This window comes from Homo sapiens, chromosome 2 (genome assembly GCF_000001405.40).
Source record: "Homo sapiens chromosome 2, GRCh38.p14 Primary Assembly".
NCBI lineage: Eukaryota > Metazoa > Chordata > Mammalia > Primates > Hominidae > Homo > Homo sapiens.
In genome coordinates this window covers 200,137,468-200,161,204 of record NC_000002.12, presented here as the reverse complement: position 1 = coordinate 200,161,204, position 23,737 = coordinate 200,137,468, and the positions used below count along the sequence as shown (strand labels likewise).

Below are 23,737 nucleotides of genomic sequence, written 5' to 3'. Positions count from 1 at the left end.
ACACTGATATCTCAGGAGAGTGATACATCCTGATTCCATGAGGAGCGGACATAGAAGCTCCGTGTTTAGGACCCTCCCAGACCTCTCCCTATATGTTTCTTAATTTGGCTAGTCTGATTTATATATTTTTAAATAAAACTGTTGTAACAGGTAGCTAGTCGGGAAGACATAAGCAGGGCAGGAGAGCCCTCCACCGACCCCCCATCCAGGAATGTCAGGTGACCATCAGGTGATGGTCAGGCAGTTAACTGTCTCTCTAAAATAATAATAGGTCACAACCAGCACCAGGGAAAGGCAGTTTCCTAATAGATAGAAACACCTGAAACTGATCATCAGCTTCCCAATAAGATCTCAGGAGTTGGGCAAGTGGGCTCAAAATGGCGGAGTTTAACTGGTATATGACCTTCTGGGGCCATTCCACCAGAAAAGGGAATGCCTTAGGTGAGCATGCTTACAACTCCGGTAAACACACTGCACATGCTTACTTCCCAAATGCTATCAGGCCACTGTGTGTGCACACAGCCCACTCCAAGGGAAGAATCAGTAGAGAAAGGATGCGAGACCCTGGAGGTATGCCAACATGTAAAACCCCAAGCCGAAAGGTCAAAGCTCACACTTGACCTCCAAGTTTCCCCACTGGCACTCTTCCAAGTGTACTTTACTTTCTTTTCATTCTTATGCTAAAGCTTTTTAATAAATGTCCACTCCTGCTCTAAAACTTGCCTCGGTCTCTTCCTCTGCCTCATGCCTCTCAGTCGAATTATTTCTTCCGAGGAGTCAAGAATTGAGGTTGCTGCAGACCCGTGTGGATTCACCACCAGTAACAAAACCATAATTGTAAGTGCAGTGCTTTCCTGAGTTCTGTGAGTCATTTTAGTGAGTTGTTGAGCCAAAGCAGTGTTATGAGACTCCTCTGGAGTTGTAGCCGGTTGGTCAGAAGTGTGGGTGGCCTGGGGACTCCACTTGTGGCTGGCTCCATCTGAAATGGAGACAATCTTGTAGAGGACTGAGTCCCTAACTTGTGGGGTCTACACTAACTCTGCGTGGTTAGTACCAGAACTGATTGCAGTATACCCATTTGGGGTAAAACAGAATATGCGATGAGTCAGTGGGCAGGACCTGTGGGCAGAACTGTCGCTATTGCTCCAGACCCCACCTCTCATGTCCCTCCTCCCCTGCCACAATAGACACAGGCAGGCTGTCAGCACAGAATCCTGCAATCCACTGAAGACCTGGGCCAGATGGTGTTTGCCTGATGTTCTAATAAGAGAAAAAAGCCCCAGCTACTTCTCTGGTCCTTTAGGGAAATGCAAATGTGACACCCCTCTATTTTTTCTCTTTCCATGGCCCCTTATTTCAGAAACAGGGGAGGGCTTCCTCTGTCAGGCTGGTGATATGCTCCTTCTACAGCAGAAATATGCTGTGGCTTTTTTCTTATTCTTTTGGCCTTCGGAAGAAAGACTGCTGAATGCCAGTGTCTTCAAGTGGATGCTTGTGAGGCTCTTCAGAAAGAGCAAGAATGGATCCAGAGAGCCACTTGGCCTCAGGATGCTCCTTTGGTCCATCTGTATTCACCAGGGACATTCTAGTGTTGTGGCTTTTAAAGGGTGAGTTCACTAACCCTGCATTCTCTCCTCCATGTCTCAATTGGTGCTTTCCCTTGCCCTTGGGCAGTTTTTCCAGGCAGTGTGACACAAACACTACATTCCTTATGAGAAGGAGGTGGGGTGATCAATGAAAACTCCCTGATAAGTTACATGTACTCTGAGCAGTGCTGTCAGGCTTAAAGGTCACATATTTCTGCAGTATGAAAATCACAAAGCACAGTGGAAACCTCATGCATAAGCAAAGCTTCTCATTGCATTCAAAAGTAATTTAAATGGCTGAGAGCTTATCTCTATGATAAAGGCTGCACCTTTTTATGTATGTTAAAGCTAAGAAAGTGCTTAAAATCCTCCCTGGCATTTGCCTTGCAGAGCTCTTGTGGGAGTAATGGGCCATGACATGCTTGGAGCTCCTAGAAGGAAAAGTGTGATGCAAGTGTCAATGTATTATTATTGCCATTAGGAATGGTGATCTGGGGGGAAGATTAAATGCTAAAGAAAAAAATCACCAAAATCTCTGAGAAATGCAAAAATGGGCCCATGAAGTTCCATACTTCAATTAAATTAAATGACCATATAATGCTACATTCTAATCCTGTGAGCATAAATTAACATAAAAACAAAATGACAGAAAATTGCCAGCATCAGCAGGAAATAGAGGGGCCATTAGTCATCACCCTCTGAAGCCCCCTCTCATTATTATTCAGTGCCTAGGAACTTGACAACTGCAAAGTGCTTAGCAGTCGTTTGTTGGTAAATGTGCTTCCTCAAAGCTGGTTCTCTCCCAGGCACTCTGTCTAGCCATTGGCCCAGATTTTCCTCTTAATGCATGGCCTGAACTGGGGCACTGGTCTTCATGGCCTGTTCCCTTAAGCAGCTGCAAATACTCCCCAGTGCTTTGGGTTCTCTAGGATTCTGCAGAGCTCTAGTAATTAGCTGATACTTGATTGATAAAGGGGGCCAGTCCTGATTCATGCCTGTTCCACTGCCACCTGGTTCCTAGTATGAGGTGACAGAGGGTTAACCCTATGGTTCCTGGTGCCAGACTTGTATAGGAGCAATTTTTGCTTTGTCTATAAACTTTCCTAGAAGGAACTCTAGAACTAGAGCAGTCTGGCAGTTCCTTGAGTCCTGTGATCAGTGTGAATAGACATGTTTTGGATTTCTTGTTGTGCTGTGCTCTGTCCTCTCATATAGCTTCCTAAAAGGAAACCTTAGGTTCCCATAAGACACTTTTAGTAATGTTGAAAGAAAACAATAAGTGAACTTTTTTTTTTCCGGAAGTATGGGTTGTGACCATTGCAGAGTAAGGTGTTATGTTGATTTTCAAACCAGCATTTAGCTACATAGCAGGACTTGGGCCTTGACCCAATATTGTGTCCAATTACAGGAGTTCAGAAGTGTCCTAGCATGTCTCATGAGCCACCAGGGCAGTCCTGAGCAGTACCTATTTTCAAGAGGAGCTGAGCTGCTTCCTGAAAGTAATTCATCCTACAGAGGAAGAAACCAGGCTCTAGACCTGATGCACAGAGCCTCAGCCAGAGAAGGGAGCTGATTTCGAATATGGCATGGTGCTGTCTCTCTACTCCTTCCTGAGCGTACACCCAGTGCCTCATGCTGGTGCCAGTAACATTGATTCCCAAGCAGCACTACTTTGGAGCCCTTCTTTTTTTTTTTTTTTTTTTTTTTTTTTTGAGATGGAGTCTCACTCTGTCGCCCAGGCTGGAGGGCAGTGGCACGATCTTGGCTCACTGCAACCTCCGCCCCTCCAGGTTTAAGCAGTTCTCTTCCCCAGCCTTCGGAGTAGCTGGGATTACAGGTGCATGCCACCATGCCCAGCTAATGTTTTGTATTTTTAGTAGAGATGGGGTTTCACCATCTTGGCCAGGCTGGTCTTGAACTCCTGACCTCGTGATCCACCTACCTAGGAGCCCTTCTAATGGAAACAATACTTAATGGAGAGAGGCACCCCAACACCACTCTGCATCAACTGCTGTGGAGCTTGGTACCTTCAGGGCTTTGGTACATTGGCTGATGACAATGGAGGAGGAACCCTGCAAAATGAAGCTTCTTTCTATGCACATATGAGATAACCCTGGAGACACACAGAAATGTTCAATAAGCATATTTTAGGAGACTAGAGAGCTGTATGAACAGGTGTGTAAAAGTCAGTAAATCTTGATTATTTTGTATCCATAGGCTGGCAGGGCTTGAGGAATCTGGAGTTCACAGATGCATAGTGCATATGCCAAATTTTATGTATGAATTATTTTAATAAATAATTATTCGGTGCCTAGTATGTCTGGCATTATGCTAAGTCCTGAATTTATAGGTCTCTAAATCTAGTGGTAATGAAGAGGTATCAATAAATAACTTCGATGATGATGAGGAAGAAGACAATGATGACAACTGTCATTTGTTGAGTATTAATTATATGCATGCATTGTGCTATGTAATTTACATATATTATTACTAATCTTTGCTACAGCCATACAAGATAGTGCTTGATAAGTCCATTTTAAAGGAAGAAAATTGAGGCACAGATGTGTCATATGGTTGGTAGATGTCAGAGATGAAATTCAAATACAGATTTGTATGACCACAATCTGACGTCTATTACATGATAGACTACTAAACAATGGCATAAGAGGGAAAAGAGAAATTAATGTGACTCTTGACTACTGAGAACTGAACATCTGGTTTCAGATAAGCACTTTCAGTGCTTGATCATACAAAATGTGATAACAGTGACTCTAAGACTTTTTACATATATGTGTACCATATAGTAGTCCCTCATCATTTTACCAGAAAGACAAGAAGGAGAATACTAAAAGTATCAGAATATTGACCTTTTCCTAGCACCTTGAAGTAGCAGCTTGTTCCAAAGTGATGGTGATTGAGAAATGCCTGTGACATCATCTTGTTCTCTTAGGATCCAATGGGAGTCCCCAATGACTCAGCCACAGCCAGCACAGAGAATACGGCACATTCACTCCCCGTTCACTCAATTTACTTTCTCCAATAAAAACCAAATGTGTTTATTATTTATAGGAACACCCTCCATCCAAAAAAAAAAAAAAGAGCAATATTTGTCTGAATAAAAGGATGCTCCAAGTTGTGAAGTTTCCTGGCTATTTTTGTGTTTTTAAGATCACCAAGATTAATATGAAAACCCTTTGGAAAGATTTCAGGAGTAAAGAGAAACTGAAAGTTAAAGTGTGAGAAGTGAATTAAAGTTCAACCTGGAAGGAAGACATAACATCTTTGACAAGATAATATAAGCCAATAGGAAAATGACTCAATTTATACGTAACCTTTCAGGAACACGTTTATTTTAGCATGTGAAGCACACCTGTGCGTGCAGACTAGCACTGACTCAATTTTGTCAGAAGAATATAGTGTTCTTTTACTAATAGGAGCTACTTCATTATTTCCACAAAGATAAACACCGTTGATGACCCAAAAGTAAGATGTATAGATGGTCCACTTAAGATTTGAGAATTGTGAGGAAAATATACCATCACCCTAAATAAGCTACTCAGTGACATCTAATCCTGAAGAAAGACGTTTCCTGACACTTGTTTATTGCTACAACGATATACTGGGCATGAAGTATGCCTTCAAATTATTTGCTTTCCAAGAAACAGAAACCTATCCCTCTAATGCTATTACCATAATAGTCTAGACAAATACATGCAATTTCATGTCATTTTGTCTTGGCATATCAGCTGGATTTTATGCTGTCATTTCTCCCAGGCGAAGCTGATATCATTACCATATGACTATAGCCAGCAAACAGTTCTGCTGTTATCTCATATCCTCAGAATCTTTTCCCCCAAATGTCAATTTCATTCAAATGCATTCCATATGAACAACATTCAAAGGAACAGTTCTCTAATTCTGCCACCCACCCATTCTCCCTTCCAAAAATCAGCCTTACAAGAGAAATTCGGGGTTTTTCTGGCAAGAACTTAAAGATACCCGATTTAAGTGCTTAATTCTAGGATGTCGAGTGGAGCAGAGCACTAGCTGTAAAGACAGACACGTGTTTTTATTGTAGGCCCCACTCTGCTACACTGTTCACACTTGATTATGCATCATACCTAAAATTCCATTTCTCAGCACAACCGTAGTCCCCAACAAAAGCTCAGTGAGGGATCCATTCCTTTCTCCTCAACATGTACCCTTGGCTCATATTAATTTTAATGTAACTTACATGATAGTAACAATATTCATAAATTCAAAAGATAACCACTGCCACTTTTGGAGCTTTTCCATTTCAAAACATTAATTTCATGCCAAGTATGATTATTTGGGCAAAAGAAAAAAATGTTTCTTTCTATAACTTTCCTCCTAAACAGACAAGCAAGAATGTCCTGTATTGTAAGTATAATTTCAATCATTTTGAAGCCCAGCTGCCTCCACAGATTACTTTTCATATGTGTATCTATGAAGTGACATGATCGGCTTACTTAAATACTTCTTGTCTTAGTTTTTTAGGGCTACTACAACAAAATACCATAGACTGGATGGCTTATCAACAACACAAACTTAATTCTCGCAGTTCTGGAAAGTGGAAGTCCAAGATCAGGGTGCTAGCATGATCACTGGTGCAGGCCTTCTGGATTGCAGACTGCCAACATCTTGTATCCCCATGTGGCAGAAAGAAGGAGAACTAGCTCCCTGGCCTCTTCTTATAAGGGCATTCATCCCTTTCAGGAGGGTTCCACCCTCATGGCCTAATCACTTCCCAAAGGCCCTACCTCCAAATACCATCACATTGGATTAGATTTCAACATACCAATGTGTGGGGAATGAGGGGGGCACATATCACTTCTCTAGAGAGCAAAGGCCCCCAGGGAACCCAATGTCTTACAGGGCTGTTAAGCTTCACCTGGTCAATCTATTAGACTGTAAGCTCAACGAAGGCACAAAGCTAGTCTGTCTCATCTACCACTAGCTATTTAGTAGACCCTCTGGGAAGGCCCTGTCTGTCTTCCCCCAAATCCATTCTCTGCTCTGTGTGTGTGTGTGTGTGTGTGTGTGTGTGTGTGTGTGTGTGTTTGTGTGTAGGAAGGGTCTGAGGTGGGTACAGAGAAATGAGGGGGTTCTCTCTCTCATTTTCTGCCAGCCCAGGGCAGCATCCTTTGTGGAGACTGCATCTCCTCTGTGGCTCCAGTTCCATCAGACAGGCCCCACTGCGGTTCTGGCTTCGCCAGGGCCCCTTTCCTGAATTCCAGCAACACTCCCTCCTCCTACTGTCCTGGAGTTCTAGGATTGCTAATTTCTTCCTGTTGCTATTTTCTGGGATGCCTCACCATCCTGTTTGGCTACAGCCCCTCTATCACCTGTATCACTGATTCCTCGTAATTAAATTACCCTGTTCTGTTTTCCGAGTTGGACCTTCAAAAATTTTTTGTTGAATAAATGAACCTTATAGGAGTTTCTGTGGCTGGACACTATAACTGGGGTGACCCTGCAGCTCTCAGAGGACCAGCTCACTGCTGCTCACCCCCAGGCTTTTCTGTGTTCTCAGAGTGTGGCCCCAGACCAGCAGCAGCACATGGGGCTGTAATCCCAGCATCATCCAGAAATTTGTTAGAAACGTAAAAATGGAATTCTTCAGACCCTACACCAGACATTCATTCAGAATCAGAAACTCTGGAAAAATCTGAGTTTTTAAGCTCCCCATGGGATTGTGATACAAGCTAAGTTTGAGCACTACTGCCCTACAGGCTGTGGTACCTCACCCCAGGACCGGAGAATCCTTAGCCCCAGACCTATCAGTGCACCTGCAGGAGGCTTAAATGTTCCGTAAGTGAGACCATCCCAACTTCTAAGCTACATCAATTAATAAGATAAGGAAAACACTACATCATATTGATGAAACTCATTAAGAATTTTTTGCTAACTCCATTTAATTCTTCCTATGATCAGTTGAATGTCAATTGAATAGCTTTTCATTTTAACCTGAAATTATCGTTTTCAGACAGGCTAATTTAGCAAGGTTGACAATATTCAGACTTTAAGAACCTTCACCTAGTTTAGTATACATTCCACATCCTAAATTTATTATTAAAAGTGGAAATGGTAGAGTTGTTTTCCATAGTGATATCATAAATAATAAACAGAAAGATGGTTTGAAAATTATCTAGGACAGCTATGTAGAAGTTTTAATATTAATGGCACTTATTGTATCCCATTCAAGGTGCCAGGTACTGTGTTTTCTCTCTTCTTCATACCTATATTCTTACCTATGTTATGTAATTTATCCCTCGTAACAAAACTAGGAGGTAGCCAGTTGTATTCCTGTTTTACAGATGAGGAAATGGAGATTTAGAGAAGTTAAGTGGTAACCTGAGGTCACAGAGCTTAGGATGTAGTGTGGTAATCCTCTGTACTACACCGCTTGAATGTTCATTTATTCACTAGGATCTAGGATGTGCTATGCTCTCTGATGGGTGCTGGGGATAACAGTTACCTAGACAGATACAGTCTCTTACCCTCCCTTCTTCCCCATGAAGTCTTTAGCAAGGGGGATACATAGACACAAAACAAGTTAACAAAAACATAAATGCAATTATTGTGAGTGCAGTGGCCACCAAGGAGGAAGCAAGCATGGGGTTGAGATATAGCCAATGGGAAGAGTAACCCACCCCAGATAGGTGGGCAGGAAAGGTTTCCATGAGGAGGACAGATGCAAGCTGATCGCAGAATGAGCAGTAGCCAGCCATGCGGAGCAAAGGGAAGATCAGCAGGAAGAGAGGAACGTGTGCAAGGAGCTGTAAAGAGAGAAAGAGCTTGGGGCATTGGAGATACAGAAAGGAGGCCAGCTGAGCTGGGAGGTCAGGAAGAGAGGGCGAGAGTGAGACAGAGGATCAGGGAATGATGTGAGAAACAAACGCACAGAGCCTGATGACAAGTCCAGGTACAGAGATTGAGTTGTTTTTCCGGTGCAATGAGTATTCATTTTACACAGGGTGTGGCAGCCTGTGTGTGTTTTAAGAAGCTCTCTCTTGTTGTCTATGGAGCATGGAGTAGATGGGGATGACACAGGAAGCAGAGCAATCATTTGGAAGGTTATGCCGGACCAGCTCGGTCAGGGAGACCCTAACCCAGTGGCGCTAGAGGAATTAAGGACACACACACACAAATATAGAGGTGTGAAGTGGGAAATCAGGGGTCTCACAGCCTTCAGAGCTGAGAGCCCCGAACAGAGATTTACCCACATATTTATTAACAGCAAACCAGTCATTAGCATTGTTTCTATAGATATTAAATTAACTAAAAGTATCCCTTATGGGAAACGAAGGGATGGGCTGAATTAAAGGAATAGGTTGGGGTAGTTAACTGCAGCAGGAACAGGCCTTTAAGGCACAGATCGCTCATGCTATTGTTTGTGGCTGAAGAATGCCTTTAAGCAGTTTTCCACCCTGGATGGGCCAGGTGTTTCTTGCGTTCATTCCTGTAAATCCACAACCTTCCAGTTTGGGCATTAGGGCCATTATAAACATGTTACAGTGCTGCACAGATTTTGTTTATGGCCAGTTTTGGGGCCAGTTTATGGCCAGATTTTGGGGGGCTTGCTCCCGACAGGTTATTACAAGACAAAAGATGACAGTGACTCAGTCTAGGGAGATGGCTGTGGAGGTGTAGATAAATGGACGAAATTGGAATTTGAATTCGAGGAAGAGCCAACAAAATTTCCTGATAAATTATTCATGGAAGGTGGGTAAAATGATGATTTCGAGGTGTTTTTATTTAGCAGCTTTATTGAGGTATAATTTATACCACAAAATTCACCTATTATGTATGTGCAGTTCAAAAGTTTTTAGTAAATTTATAGAGTTGTGCAACCATACCCACAGTCCAGTTTTGGAACATTTTCATCATCGGAGAAAGCTCCCTCAGGCCCCTTTGTGGTCAATCCCTACCCCCATCTCCAGCCAAGGCAACAAGTTTTCTACCTTCTCTTTCTAGATTTACCTTTGTGGAAATTTTATATACATGAAATCATGCAATATGAAGTCTTGTGCCTGGCTTTTATCACTTAACATAATGTTTTTAGAGGTTATACATGTTGTTGCATGTATTAGTAGTTTGTTGCCTTTTTTGATGAATAATATTCATTGTTATGAATATAACACATTTTATTTTTTCTTTCACCAGTTGATGAATACTTGGATTGTTTCTAATTTGAGGTTACTACTAATACTACTACTAGACATAATCTGGTTCCCTTTATCTTCATAGCAATGAAATTATATCACAATCTTAAATCAATATTCAGCATTTACATTACTATAAATTATAACTATCCATATTAAGCAGGATTTATCTTCTTATTCAACTTTCTGGTTCCTCTGAGTTAATAATTGCCTTGACTTTTAGATCTATTTGTCACTAAGTGCTTCCCAAACTCCCTAATGAGGAACTGTAAACCTCCATTAGCTTATTTAGAGATACTGCTCTTGGAACCCTTTATCCTCCTGTCCTGATCTTAACTGGTTACTCTCTAAGCCTGCTGCACAGTTGTTGTCCTGGGACTTAGCCCGTTCTCTCCTGTGCTGGATTGTAATTGCTGGATCCCATGATTTCCTTCATTGTGGTGAAGCCAATAGTTTTTTGAGAAAGAGTGAATGAGAGATAAAACTTTGTAAGCTTGCATATGTGAAAATGTCTCTATTCTGACTTCATGATTTCCTGATGTATAGTTTAGCTGGATATAGAATTCTAAGTTGGAAATATTTTTATTTATCAGAATTTCAAGTCCATTGTTTTCAGTGCCTTCTCACTTCAGTGTTGCTCTTCAGCAACTGAACATCAATGTTATTTATGATTTGCCTCTTTGTTTTTTTATTTTTATCTCAAGTGGCTTTTAGGATCTTCACTCCTATCCTTGATATTTTGAAATTTCATAGCTATAAGTTTTAGAGTGATTATTTTATCTTTAATTATGCTGCATATTCAATAAGTCTTTTCAATTTGCAAACTCATCACTTTCATTTCTGAGAAATGTTCTTGAATTATTTTATTAGTAACTCTTTCCCCTCTCTTTTCTCTGTTCTTTCTATTTCTATTTCTCTGTTCTATTTCTTTCTATCCATTAATTGGATATTAGACTTCTTGGATTGTACTCTAATTTTCATTTCATTTCTTATTCATTTTGTTTCCTTTTTGATTCTGCTGTCTTTTAGATTTCCTCAGTTTTACAAACTTTTCCGTTGTCTTTAAAAAAATTCTTCTTTCTTTTCTATAGCACCTGTCCTTGTTTCATGATTCAGTATCTCTCTTATCAGATGATAATATTTCTATTATTACCTAATTTTTATTTTGTTTCCTATATGTCATGTATTCTTCCATTTTCATTGTTTCTGATTCTGATTTGTTTGTTTTGCACTTCGTCTTTTCATGTTGGTGGCTTTCCTCTAATGTCTGGTGGTCCTTAGTTATCTCATATTTTAGAGTGAGTCACTTATCTTTTGAAATTTGATGTGTGTGGTGAAACTTTCCAATTGCTGAGCTTCATTGTCAGTTGATATATTGGAGAAAAAGAGTGTATCATTGGTATTTCACCAATATCAGCATCTGTAGGAACTTTCTCTTTAGGATGATTCCTGCAAAGAAGAAATCCATTATCCTGACAGGAGGTATGATCCTAAAGTCTAGCAACTGAGCAGGTGAAAGGGGCAGACTGTCTGGCTTATTAGTATGTAGATTTTCTTGCAGTGCCCCAGGTATCTGAAAGGTGTCCCTCATCCACTCTCAGCTGTGCCGTGTCTTCAGGTCTTCATTTTATCCAGAGGATAAATTTTCTCTTTTCTGAAACATTAAAGGAGTCACATGAAAAAATTTTAGAAGCTCCTACCAAGTTTTTATTCATTTAATGTGTATTGATTGAGCTCCTTACTCTAGTCTAAGCCATGTCTATACAGTGGTAAACAAAAAGATGTGATCCCTGCCTGCATGGCATTTATCTACACTCTTTGTCTTGTTAGGCTTCATGAGGTTACAAGGAACCAAGATAGGTTTCTTCAGATCGCCAAAAAAAGGTCCCCCCACCCTGATACTGTGGTTTATTGTAAATATGCAGAAAATGTTTAGAAAATGTAGGAAAACAAATAGCCATGGTGCCATGTCTTAATTGAGAAATTGAACAATGGTATCTCATCATTCAGAATCCAGCCATTCTAATTTCCACCCCCAACGCAGAGGTTGTAGAAAGATGCCCAAAATAACAGCTCTTCCAGATTTAAAAAATTTGAGATTGTCTTCTTCACCAGGCCCCCATTATTGATGGATGATTTTGGGTTGGTTGCTGGCCCCTGGCCCAATCAGCTTTAGCCAAGAAGTCAGGGTCAGATACAGCTCATAATGGCAACTCAGGGGGAAGGTATTGCCTTGGAGCTAATGATGGGACAGGCACAATACATTTCCTGTTGCAAGTATTATCATGATACAACATATGCTCTAAAACCAGGAGATTCTTCTTGAAACTTTTTGTTTGAATTTATCAAAACTTGCCTGACACGGAGAACACATCTATGCACAGTTTGGGATTTAGGCACCAGAGCTCAGGATGGCCAAGGGTGAAGGGTAAAGAATGGCTGGAATGTCATTTAAGGAAAGAAAAATGTAGAAATGTTAGGGTTTGTCCAGTGTAAATAGTTTCATTAGACAGAACTTTTCACATGCTATAATCGACAAGTTACTCTCTTTGCACTTGTAACACTGGCCCAATCTAGAGCTGCCTTGTAGATCAGCCTAAAGGGCCCATCAACCCAGAAAAACCTATTACAAATCTTATGTCCATTCAAATGAAAGAACATAGAAATAAACTTTCACTGCACAGAAAGAAAGGTAATTCTGAATGTTCTCATTTCAATTATATAACAGCGCTTGCTCCAGGGGAAAGAGGGAATCTTTTAGAGATATAACAAGCTAGGGGAGATTTTGGTGAAGAATTTCCTTAGTCACAGCAGGAGAATGCAGAAGCTTATTTGGAGGCATTACTAGACAGCTGCTTCTTATTCCATAGCTCAACACAATGCTCTCTTTGCCATGAATTTCATGGGGCTTTAGGAAAAATCCTACAGCAATTACAGTCTGTGCACAGGAGGTTACTGTGACATGCTCCCTCTCACACCCAGATCCCGGAGTTCCAGCCCTGGGGTTCTCTAATTTTGATACACCAAATCACTGTTATTAGGTAAATGAGTAGCAGCCATGGTAATCAGACCTTAATTAAAACAAAGTGTATAAAGCTAGCTAACATGCACCACCACTCTAATTTTGGTTCATTGCATAAAACTGATTTATCTCAGGATCATTCACTTACCATAATCATTTCCTGTTTTGAGATGAAATTTTCATTCAGAGAAATTTACAATGATGTTCTCTCTCATACCATCTAGTCAATATCACAGTCTGATGATATTTCCAGAAACAAGCATTCACCAACGGAAAATATTTTACATATTTCCAGAAATGTCTTAAGGGCATTTTTCAGGTATTGTCCATTAATACCTCTGAGCCTATTCTACACAATCCTGAGAACAGAGGGCCAAGTATAGAATCACTACTATTGCTACCATTTTTGCCCTAGTGTTCAGAGCTTCTGGTAGACAGAATGTATGCCATTGTTCCAGTATGAAGAAAAAAATATCTAAGTGCCTCAAGACCCAATTTCAACAAATTCCAATTTTCACTTTCCAAAGTGAAGGAAAACATCTCTATTGATTTCTGACATAAACAACGGGATCTAAAGAGCTTACTGTTTTTTGTTCAAAGTCCTCCTCCTCTCTCTCTCTTTTATGAGTATGTACTCCTTTGCTTTACTTGTCTGTGACTGGCTTGTTATAGAATGAACTCACACATACATCTTTTGTTCTGAGTGAATTTTTTCTCTATAGAATTTTCGGGCTATAAAGAGCTGCAATGGAGTGATGTGTGGGTGCTGTCTGAACCAGCTATAGCATCATCCAGATGTTCTCAGGAATTCTCAGCCCTGGATGCTGACTTGGTGGCCAGAGCCTTGGTGTGGGCTCACTGCTTCTATTATTGATGGGCTGGATACTGTCATCAGTGATGGTGCAGCTGGCTACCTTTTGACTAAGTGCAGGAAAAACTGTGGGAACTAAATAGTAGTATTTTGCCATTTCACGGTGGATATAGCATTCTGGGAATTCATATTTGTTGTATTTTCACAAAGTCTTAGTTTTCTAAGTTTTCTTATTTATGTACTCATTCTTTTTTTAAATTAAGATATAATTCACATATGAAAAAATCTACACTTTTATGGTATAAAATTCTGTGATTTTGAGTTCTTCACAAAGTCTAACCATCACAGGTATCTAATCCAGAATATTTTCATCATTCCAATAAGAAGCCCATACCCATTGACATTCATTCCCCATCCCTCCACCTCCAGATTCCTGGTAACTATTTGTCTACTTTCTGTCTCTATGGATTTGCCTATTCTGCACATTTCTTATAAGTGGAATTAAACAATATGTGACCTTTTGCATCTGGCTTCTTTCACATACCATAATGTTTTCAAGGCTCATCCATGTTGTAACATGCATCAGCACTTCACTTATTTTTGTGGCTGAATAACATTTAATTGTATGGATATACCAGATTTTCTATTTATTTATCAATTAATAGTTGAGTTGTTTTCACTTTTCAGCTATCGTGAATAATGTTGCTATGAATATTCACATACAAGTTTTGGATGGTTATGTTTTCAGTTTTCTTAGGAGTGGAGTTGTTTGATCACATAGCAATTCCATATTTAATTTTTTGAGGAAATATTAAACTATTTTCCACAATGGCTGCACGATTTTACGTTCCCACTCAGCAATGTGCTCTAATTTCTTTACATCCTTGCCAGCACCTGTTTTTGTCTGTCTTTTTTTATTGTAGCCATTCTAGCAAATGTGAAATGCTATTTCATTATGGTTTATATTTGCATTTCTCTAAGAACTATTGATCTTGAGCATCTTTTCATGTGCCCATTGGCCGTTTGTGTATCTTTTTTGGAGCAATGCCTATTCATGTCTTTTTTCCATTTTTATTTGGCTTATTTGTCTTATTGCTAAGTTGTAGGAATTCTTTGGGTATCTTAGATATATAAATATGTTTTAGGTACCTTATCAGATAAATGACTTGCAACTATTTTTTTGTTCATTTTGTATGTTTCCTTTTCACTTTCTGATAATGTCCTTTGAAACACAAAAGTTTCAAATTTTGATGAAGTTCAATTTATTTATATTTTCATTTGTTGCTTGTGCCATTCATTTATTTTTACAAACTTTTTTCAGTCCCTACAATGATCCAAAATACAAAGATGAATTAAGACACCATTTCTGCCTACAAGTCAATCAGACTCCTGCATTAAAAAAGATAGACATGTGAATAGATGCAGTGCAGAGTCTCATTCCTAGATAGACCCATCACCTGCTTCATCCAGGTCTTTGCTCAAATGTCACCTCCTCTGAGAGATCCTTATGGACTAGCTGATCTAAAAAGCACTTGCTGCTGTCACTATCTTTTGATCCCGCTCTTTATGGCTTTGTTACTTCCTGGCTTTATCGCTCTCCCACCTGAGTGTGAGTTCCACAGAGACAGGAACTTTGTGTATCATTAGTGCTGAATCCCAAACATCTACAACAGCATTTGGCACCTGGTAGATGCCCAATAAATATTGATAAAAATAATAGTTGTTATATCACAGATATTGATAAGGTTTGGGTCTGTGTCCCTGCCCAAATCTCATGTCAAATTGCAATCCCCAGTGTTGAAGGTGGGGCCTGGTGGGAGGTGGACTGGATCATGGGGGTGGATTTCCACTTTGGTGCTGTTCTCATGATACTGAGTTATTGTGAGATCTGGTTGTTTAAAAGTATGTAGCACCATCCCCTGCCTCCTTCCTGCTTTGGCCATGTGAAGACATGCCTGCTTCTCCTTCACCTTCTGCCATGATTTTAAGTTTCCTGAGGCCTCCCTAGCCATGTTTCCTGTACAGCCTGCAGAACTGTGAGCCAATTAAACATCTTTTCTTTATAAAGTACCCAGTCTCAGGTATTCGTTTATAGCAATGCAAAAACAGACTAATACAGAAAATTGGTACTTAGGAGTGGGGCATTGTTATAAAGATACCTGCAAATATGGAAGCAGCTTTGGAATTGAGTAACAGGCAGAGGTTGGAAGAGTGTGGAGCACTCAGAAGAAGACAGGAAGATGAGGGAAAGTTTGGAACTTCTTAGAGACTTGTTGAATGGTTATGACCAAAATGCTGATAGTGGTATGGACAGTGAAGTCTAGGCTGAGGTGGTCTCAGATGGAAATGAGAAACTTATTGGGAACTGGAATAAGGGTCACTTTTGTTATCAGTTAGCAAGGAGCTTGGTTGGAATGTACCCCTGCCCTAGGGATCTGTGGAACTTTGAACTTGAGAGTGATGATTTAGGGTATCTGGCAGAAGAAATTTCTAAGCAGGAAAGCATTCAAGTTATGGCCTGGCTGCTTCTAGCATCCTGTACTCATATTTGTGAGCAAATAAATAATGTAAAACTGGAACTTATATTTAAAAGGAAAGTAGAGTGTAAAAATTTGGAAAAGTTGCAGTCTGGCCACATAGTAGAAAAGAAAAACCCATTTTCAGGGGAGGAATTCAAGCAGGGTGCAGAAATTTACATAACTAAAAGGAAGGCAAATGTTGATAGCCAAGAAAATGGGAGAAACATCTTGAAGATATTTCAGAGACCTTTGCAGCAGCCTCCACCCCAAATCACAGGCCTAGAGGCTTAAGAGGGAAGAATGGTTTCATGTGCCAGGCCTAGGGCCCTCACTGCTCTGTGCAGCCTCAGAACATGGTGCCCTACATCCTGGCCACTCTTGCTCCAGCCGTGGCTAAAAGGGGCCAAGGTACAGCTTTGGCTGCAGCTTCAGAGGGTGCGAACCATAAGCCTTGGAGGCTTCCACATGTTGTTAAGCCTGCAAGTGCACACAGTGCAAGAGTTGAGGCTTGGGAACCCCCACCTAGACTTCAGAAGATGTTTCCAGGAAAAGCCTGGATGTCCAGGCAGAAATCTGTTGCAGAGGCAGAGCCCTTATGGAGAACCTCTACTAAGGTAGTGTGGAGGGAAAATGTGAGGTTGGAACTCCTACACAGAGCCCCCACTGCGGTACTGCCTAGTGAAGATGTGATAAGAGAGTGACTATCCTCCAGACCCCAGAGTGGTAGATCCACTGATAGCTTGCACAATGCACCTTGAAGAGCTATAGGCACTCAGCGTCAGCCCTTGAGACCAGCTGTTGGGGCTGAGCCCTGCAGTGCCACAGAGGCAGAGCTGCCCAAGGCCTTGGGAACCCACCCATTGCATCAGTGTGCCCTGGATGTGAGACATGGAATCAAAGGAAATTATTTTAGAGCTTTAAGATTTAATGACTGCGCTGCTGGGTTTTGAACTCACACAGGGCCTGTCACCCCTTTATTTTGGCCAATTTTCTCTTGGCAGACAGCCGAGTAATACAAGAGGGTATCTACCCAGTGTCTATACCCCCATTATATCTTGGAAGTAACGTAACTTGTTTTTTATTTTACAGGCTCATAGGCAGAAGGGACTTGCCTTGTCTCAGATGTGACTTTGGACTTTTGAGTTAATGTTGGAATTAGTTAAGACTTTGGGTTACTGTTGGGAAAGCATGATTGTATTTTGAAATGTGAGAAGGACGTGAGATTTGAGAGAGCCAAGGAGCAGAATGATATGGTTTGGGTCTGTGTCCCTGCCCAAATCTCATGTCAAATTGTAATCCCCATATTGAGGTGGGGACTGGTGGGAGTTGATTGGATCTTGGGGGTGGATTTCCCCTTTTGTGGTGTTCTTATGGTACTGAGTGAGTTATCATGAGATCTGCTTGTTTAAAAGTGTGTAGCACCTTCCCCACCCACCTCCTGCTCTGACCATATGAAGATTATTATATCATAATTCAGTACCTGCTTCCCCTTTGCCTTCCACTATGATTGTAACTTTCCTGAGACCTCCCCAGCCATGCTTCCTTTACAGCCTGTGAAACTGTGAGCCAATTAAACCTCTTTTCTTTATAAATTACCCAGTCTTAGGTATTTCTTTATAGTAGCATGAGAATGGACTAATACAGATATAGAGATGAATCAATTACACTGAAGAAAGGATAAAGAAAGCCCACTAAAAATGGGGAGATGTAAGCAGAGTCTTGAAAAATAAGTTGGTGATAGGAATGTGGTAGGTGAAACAAACTAGGAGAGAATTCCAGCAGAGGGGAGACATGAGCAAAGTTCCATAGGCCTCTTACTAGAATGTAGTAATTGACTGAAGAGCCCACTTTGGTGTCAGCGTCATTCTCAGGGGTACTTTAGGGAAGTGGAGTGAGGGAGAAGAAAGGGCAGGGTCATCAGAAGTCCTGGTGTCTGATCTTAACTTTGAGCCTAATTTGTTATTAGCTTTGAACAAGACCCTGTAAACTCCGGGCCTTGGGTTCAGCCATAAAATGAAATGGCTTATCTTTAAAGTAGCGTCCAACACCAGGGGTCTAGAATTCTATTTCAAAAAGGAGATCAACTTTTAATATCTTTAAGGTGAACAGCAATTTATTCCATTTCCTTCTTTGTTTTTAAAATTAAATATAATTTACATGCAGTTATGAAACACAAATGTCAAGTATATGGTCAATGAATTTTTATGTATGTGTGTAACCTTGTAATAGCCTCTCAGATCAAAATGTAGAATATTTCCTTCACCCTAGAAAGTTCCCTCGTGCGCCTTCCCATGAATAGCTCCCCAGAAGTAAACCACTATTCCAATTCCTACTTCTATAAACACAGATTAGCTTTGTCAGTTCTTGAAATTCATTTAAATGAACCCATCCAGTATGTACTATGCCTGTTTTTTTTTCTCAACATAATGTCTGTGAGATTCCTTTCTGTTGTTGCATGTATTGGTAATTTTATTATATGATTATATCATGTTTCAGTTACCCATTCTACTATTGAAGAACACTTTGATGTTTAGGGTTTTTTAGCTATTATGAATAATACATGTCTCTTGGCAGACATATTCACACACTTTTCCTTGGGTTTGCATCTAGCAGTGGAATTGCTGAATCAATAGGGTAGACATATGTTTAGCTTTAGTAGATATTGCCAAATATTTACCAAACTGGTTCTACTAATTTACATTCCCACAAGTAATATAGGAGAGTTCCAATTGTTCCACATCCTTTTCAACAATTGTTATTGTCAGTCTTTTTAAATTTTACTAATCCTGGAGTATGTGTTATGGTATTCCATCATAGTTTTGATTTGTAATTCTCTGATACAAATTATATTGATCTTTTCTTATGCTCATTGGTTATTTGGACATTCTTTTGTGAGGAGTGGCAAGAAATGCCTATTCAAGTCTTTTTCCTATTTTAAATTGGGTTGTTTTTTTTTTACTATGGATTTGTAGAAGCCTTTATATATTATTAGTATGATGATTATTATTATTATCATCATTTTTTGAGACAGAATCTTACTCTGTCACCCAGGCTGGAGTGCAATGGTGTGATCTTGGCTCACTGCAACCTCTGCCTCCTGGGTTCAAGTGATTCTACTGCCTCAGCCTCCTGAGTAGCTGGGACTACAGGCATGCACCACCATGCCCGGCTAATTTTTATATTTTTAGTAGAGACAGGGTTTCACCATGTTCGTCATGCTGATATCAAACTCCTGACCTCATGTGATCCACCCACCTTGGTCTCCCAAAGTTCTGGGATTACAGGCATGAGTCACTGTGCTAGGCCTATGTATTCTTGATGTTAGATCTTTGTTTTATATATAAATTTATATTAATTATATATAATTGTATGCATCTACATATATAATTGTATGCAATTAATTATATATAATTGTATGCATATTAATTATATGTAATTGTATGCATAATTATATATAATTGTATGCATAATGGCATGTAGATATGTATGAAATCGGTATGTAGATATGTATGCAATTGTATGAATATATATAAAATAACATGTATAATTATTATATATATATTAATATAGATATTACAAATATCACCTCTCAGTCTGTGCCTTGACTATTTGTTAATGATTATGAATAGGACTGAAACCCAATTTATCATTTAAAAAAAAAGCATTAGTGCTTTTTATGTTCTGTTTGAGAAATCTTTGCCTGTCCCAAGTTCACAAAGCTATTCCTCCTGTTTTCTTCTAAAAGTGTGATTATTTTAGTTTTCACATTTAGGCTTATGGTCCATCCTGAACTAGTTTTAGCGCACAGTGTGAGATAAAGGTCAAAGTTCACTTTTTTCCATATGGATATCCAGTTTCTCCAGCACCATTTGTTCAAATGACCACTTTTTCTTCACTGAAATGCAGTGTTGCCTTTGTCATTAATGAAGTGATTGTACTCGTGAGGGTTCATTTCTCTCTATTTTGTTCCATTGGTCTGTTTGTCTATCTTTGCACCAGTACCACCATGTGTTAATTACTGTAGCTTTAGAATAAGTCTTGAAATCTGGGAGTGTTGTTTTTCAACATTTTCTTCTTCAAATTTTCTTGTCTCCTCCCTTCTCTTTGCATTTCCATATACCTTTCAGAATCAACTTGTCAATTTACACACACATGTACAGGCGCACACATAAACATGACAGGATTTTGATTGTGATTGCATTGATTCTATAGATCAGTTTGAGAAGAACTGGCATCTTAACAGTCTTGAGTTTTCCAAACCTTACATTTGGAATATGTCTCTGTTTATTTAAGACTTCTTTAGTTTATCTTCTCAGTATATGATAGTTTTTAGCAACAATTAAAAAAAATGCAATTTATGATAGTATCAGAAAATCAAATACCTGTAGTTTACTGTGAGTCATCTCAGTAGCTGCTGCTTTTCCAACACACTTCTGTTTTGGGAGGATTTGTGGATTTTACTTGCCAGTACATGATGTATAAATGTGAATTTTGATGATTTTATTGATAAACATTAAATTTGATTCATATTTATTTGCTTTTCCTCAGGGGAATTGACACCATGTGTAAATGTATTTGAAAGCTACATGTCTTTTTAGAAAAATCTAAAGAGGATAAGGAAATAATGAAATTGTTGCTCTGCTTGTAATTTTTTTCTACTACAATTTTTAAACTTTCCCTCTGAGCCTTCTTACTCTTCTACATAGCGACTTTAATATTGACAGACATCTGAGTTATTGTTATTTATTATTATTCACTTATTACTTGTTGTCATGTTTTTAATAAATATTATTTCTCAAAACACTCTTACCATTATTATTCTACTCAATATTTAAGACAATCTTGTGAATGTAACAGAGCAAATAGTACCTCTACTTTACAGAAGATAAAATTGAGGGCAGAGATTAAATACTTGTCCAAGTATGTCCAGCTGATTAGTGAAATATCTAGAACTCATAGCCAGTACTCTTGGTGGGAGTAGTATTATTACTGCTTCTAGCAACAGTGGTTTTTTGTTGTTGTTGTTCCAAAATACAGCAGAGAGTGGAAGGATAATTGCCTCAATACTAAGCTTCATTTTTAAATCCGTAGCCTAATTTGGTACTGACTACACAAGTACAGAAAATTAGATCTTGAAAAGAAGATATGCTGTTATGAAGGAGTCCAATTTCCTATTGGTATAAATTAATGAGATAAAACTACTTTGAAACTACTTTAAGTTGCAGTGGAAGTAGAGTGACTTTGAAATTCCTTTTTGTGCTCATTTTAAAGTGAAACAAAAATCCACTGCTGACAAAGCCCAAGAGAAATTGGTACACTCACACCCAGCAGCCAGCACGGCTTATCACTGTTGTCTTCATGGGATGCAGCTTGGCAATAGGAACCAAACGAAGCATAAAGGCATTTATACCTTTTAGTTCAACTATCTCATTCCAGAGAATTTATCTTGAAGATATGATTCAGTTACTATTGATTTTTAAAAGGCAAAACAGAATTCTTTATGAAAATATTCTATCTACAATAGCTGGACGTCAACAAATGTGTATTCAGATTCACAGAATAATAAATGTATAGATTCGAATGCCTTCCTTCTGTAGACTTCAAAAATGATCAGTCTTTCTATAACCAATACTGACTTTACTTCCTAAGCTCACAGTTGAGTGGTGAAATAGGGCTTCCCCTGAGTCTGGTACTCTTGAGCTATGCACATAAAGATGGGGCTTTAGTAGCTTAAGGTGGCTGGGAAGCCCGCTGTTTGGACATACTGCTTCTCCTCTTCACAGATCAAAAATATTTAATCTGCTACTTCCTCTAGTCTACTACCCTCTCTACCCAAATTATAAGTAACACCAAAGGAATTAACTAGACTATATAAAGCTAGCATTCCAAATCCAAATCTATAAAGCAACAATAAATATCACCACAGCACTGGCTCTTGTACATTGTATGTTGTTTATTCTTCCATTTTATGATTTCCAGCCAGGTTTCTAGTGTCCCAGCCTGCAGTGAGAGACAGAAAAACCTTGATGTTTTGGCCAGAGCCTATTGAGAACCCACTAACTAAACAGCCTGTGCAGCTGACCATGAACTTTCAGCACCACAGGGAAAAAGGAAAAAAGAATTATTTCAAGGCCCTTCCCTAGGACAGGTTTGGCTTGACTTATAGAAATGTCTTCCAGGAAAGAAAATATCATTAATGAGTAAGTTAGAAAAAAACAGAGCTGATTCAAGTCTCAGATATTTTCCTACGTTGGATTAGGGGCACCACATTAGTATTTTCCTCCTGGATCTATAAGCCAAGTACACTTCCATGAATTTAAACAAATACCTAGATTTCCCTAACTTCTCAGGACTGGAAAAATGGATGCAAACAGCTTGGGGAGGAGACATCCCTTGCTTTCAGGTTCTTTATTACTGACAGGCATGTTTTTGTGATTGTTCACGCTTGAGGTTGTATTGTAGTTTTCACTTCCAAGGCCTGCTGGTATTTCTCAGCTGTCTACCTCCCTTTTTCAATCCCACTCTTGGAATTTAGTCTTACTGTGAGGAGTAAGAAAAGAAAAACATAACTCTGTGCTGAGCTCATTTTACCATATGTGACATTATAGCTAGAAGTCAGGGAGTTTTTGAAAGACTCAACCTGTATTCTATTGGCCTACAGAATATGTCAGAAAGAGCCAGAGGTTAGAGACCCAAACACCACAGTTTCTAATCCTTAATCAATCATTTTTTTTGCTCTCTGGAGTAACCAGTTTATTTCATTCCAATTCAAGATGACTCTTAGGGGGCACAATTGTTCCTTATACTTGAAGAGAAGCCCATCATTTCCCAAGAGCTTAATAACCACACCATGGCAATAGCCTTTCAAAGTATTATATGACCCTTCTTAAAGCATTTGCCTCCATTTCTGAGGTAATGAAAGACATCTGAAAAGAATTTTTCTCAGGCTAACAAGAAATAGGTAACTCTGTTTAGTCTTTGTGTTTTACTCCTTTCTGTAGACATAGGATGTTCTTGGTACATTCTGAGCCCCATGTTGTAACTACATGTTACTTGTAGTTTGTGGATGATCTAGGAGGAAAAAAAGAGACAGCTTTAAGGAATTGTTCTGCATCAATTAGGCTTTGAATAGAAAGCAAAAGGAGGAAAAGGAATTCAGCACTTTGGAACACATCTTATTTGCTATAGACTTATGAGGCAATAGGATTGTACTGTTTGCTCAGAGAACCAAGAAAAGTCTAGAAGCCATTTAAATGGGAACTTGTACTGGTACGCTTTTTCATCATCATGGCTTAAATGTCTGCAAAGAGCTGAGCACTGAACAGAACATATAAAGCATGTCATCTCTGTCTTAAAACACAAAGAGAGCCAGCTTCACAGAGAGCTGCAAAGAATGTGTGCATGGTTCATGTAAAATATGCACTCAAAGTGGTAGTCTCAGGAAATGGTGTGCATGTGTGTGAAGGGGTTACATACGTGTTTGTGGAGGTGGAAAGTAAGGGAACGGGGCAGCTTAGATGTTAGAGACTAAAACTGCCTCCACAAGGTTGTCAAGAATTGCATGCAAGGTTCTGGACAGAAATGTAGACATAACTAAGCACTAACCAGGCTGC

At 39.5% G+C, this 23,737-nt stretch overlaps 1 long non-coding RNA gene across 2 annotated transcripts in view, besides 2 other annotated features; it reads left to right on the top strand.

Annotated features, from left to right (window-relative positions):
- Positions 1-23,737, top strand: part of LOC124906112 (uncharacterized) — a 204,201-nt gene that overhangs the window by 13,593 nt on the left and 166,871 nt on the right. The gene's annotated exons all lie outside the window — the stretch shown is intronic.
- Positions 2,123-2,857: an enhancer, noted in NCBI's record as "H3K27ac hESC enhancer chr2:201023071-201023805 (GRCh37/hg19 assembly coordinates)". NCBI's record gives its function as "activates a minimal SCP1, AML or CMV promoter by ChIP-STARR-seq in primed H9 embryonic stem cells {active_cell/tissue: H9 hESC(primed)}" and the evidence as "EXISTENCE:reporter gene assay evidence [ECO:0000049][PMID:30033119]".
- Positions 2,858-3,593: an enhancer, noted in NCBI's record as "H3K27ac hESC enhancer chr2:201022335-201023070 (GRCh37/hg19 assembly coordinates)". NCBI's record gives its function as "activates a minimal SCP1, AML or CMV promoter by ChIP-STARR-seq in primed H9 embryonic stem cells {active_cell/tissue: H9 hESC(primed)}" and the evidence as "EXISTENCE:reporter gene assay evidence [ECO:0000049][PMID:30033119]".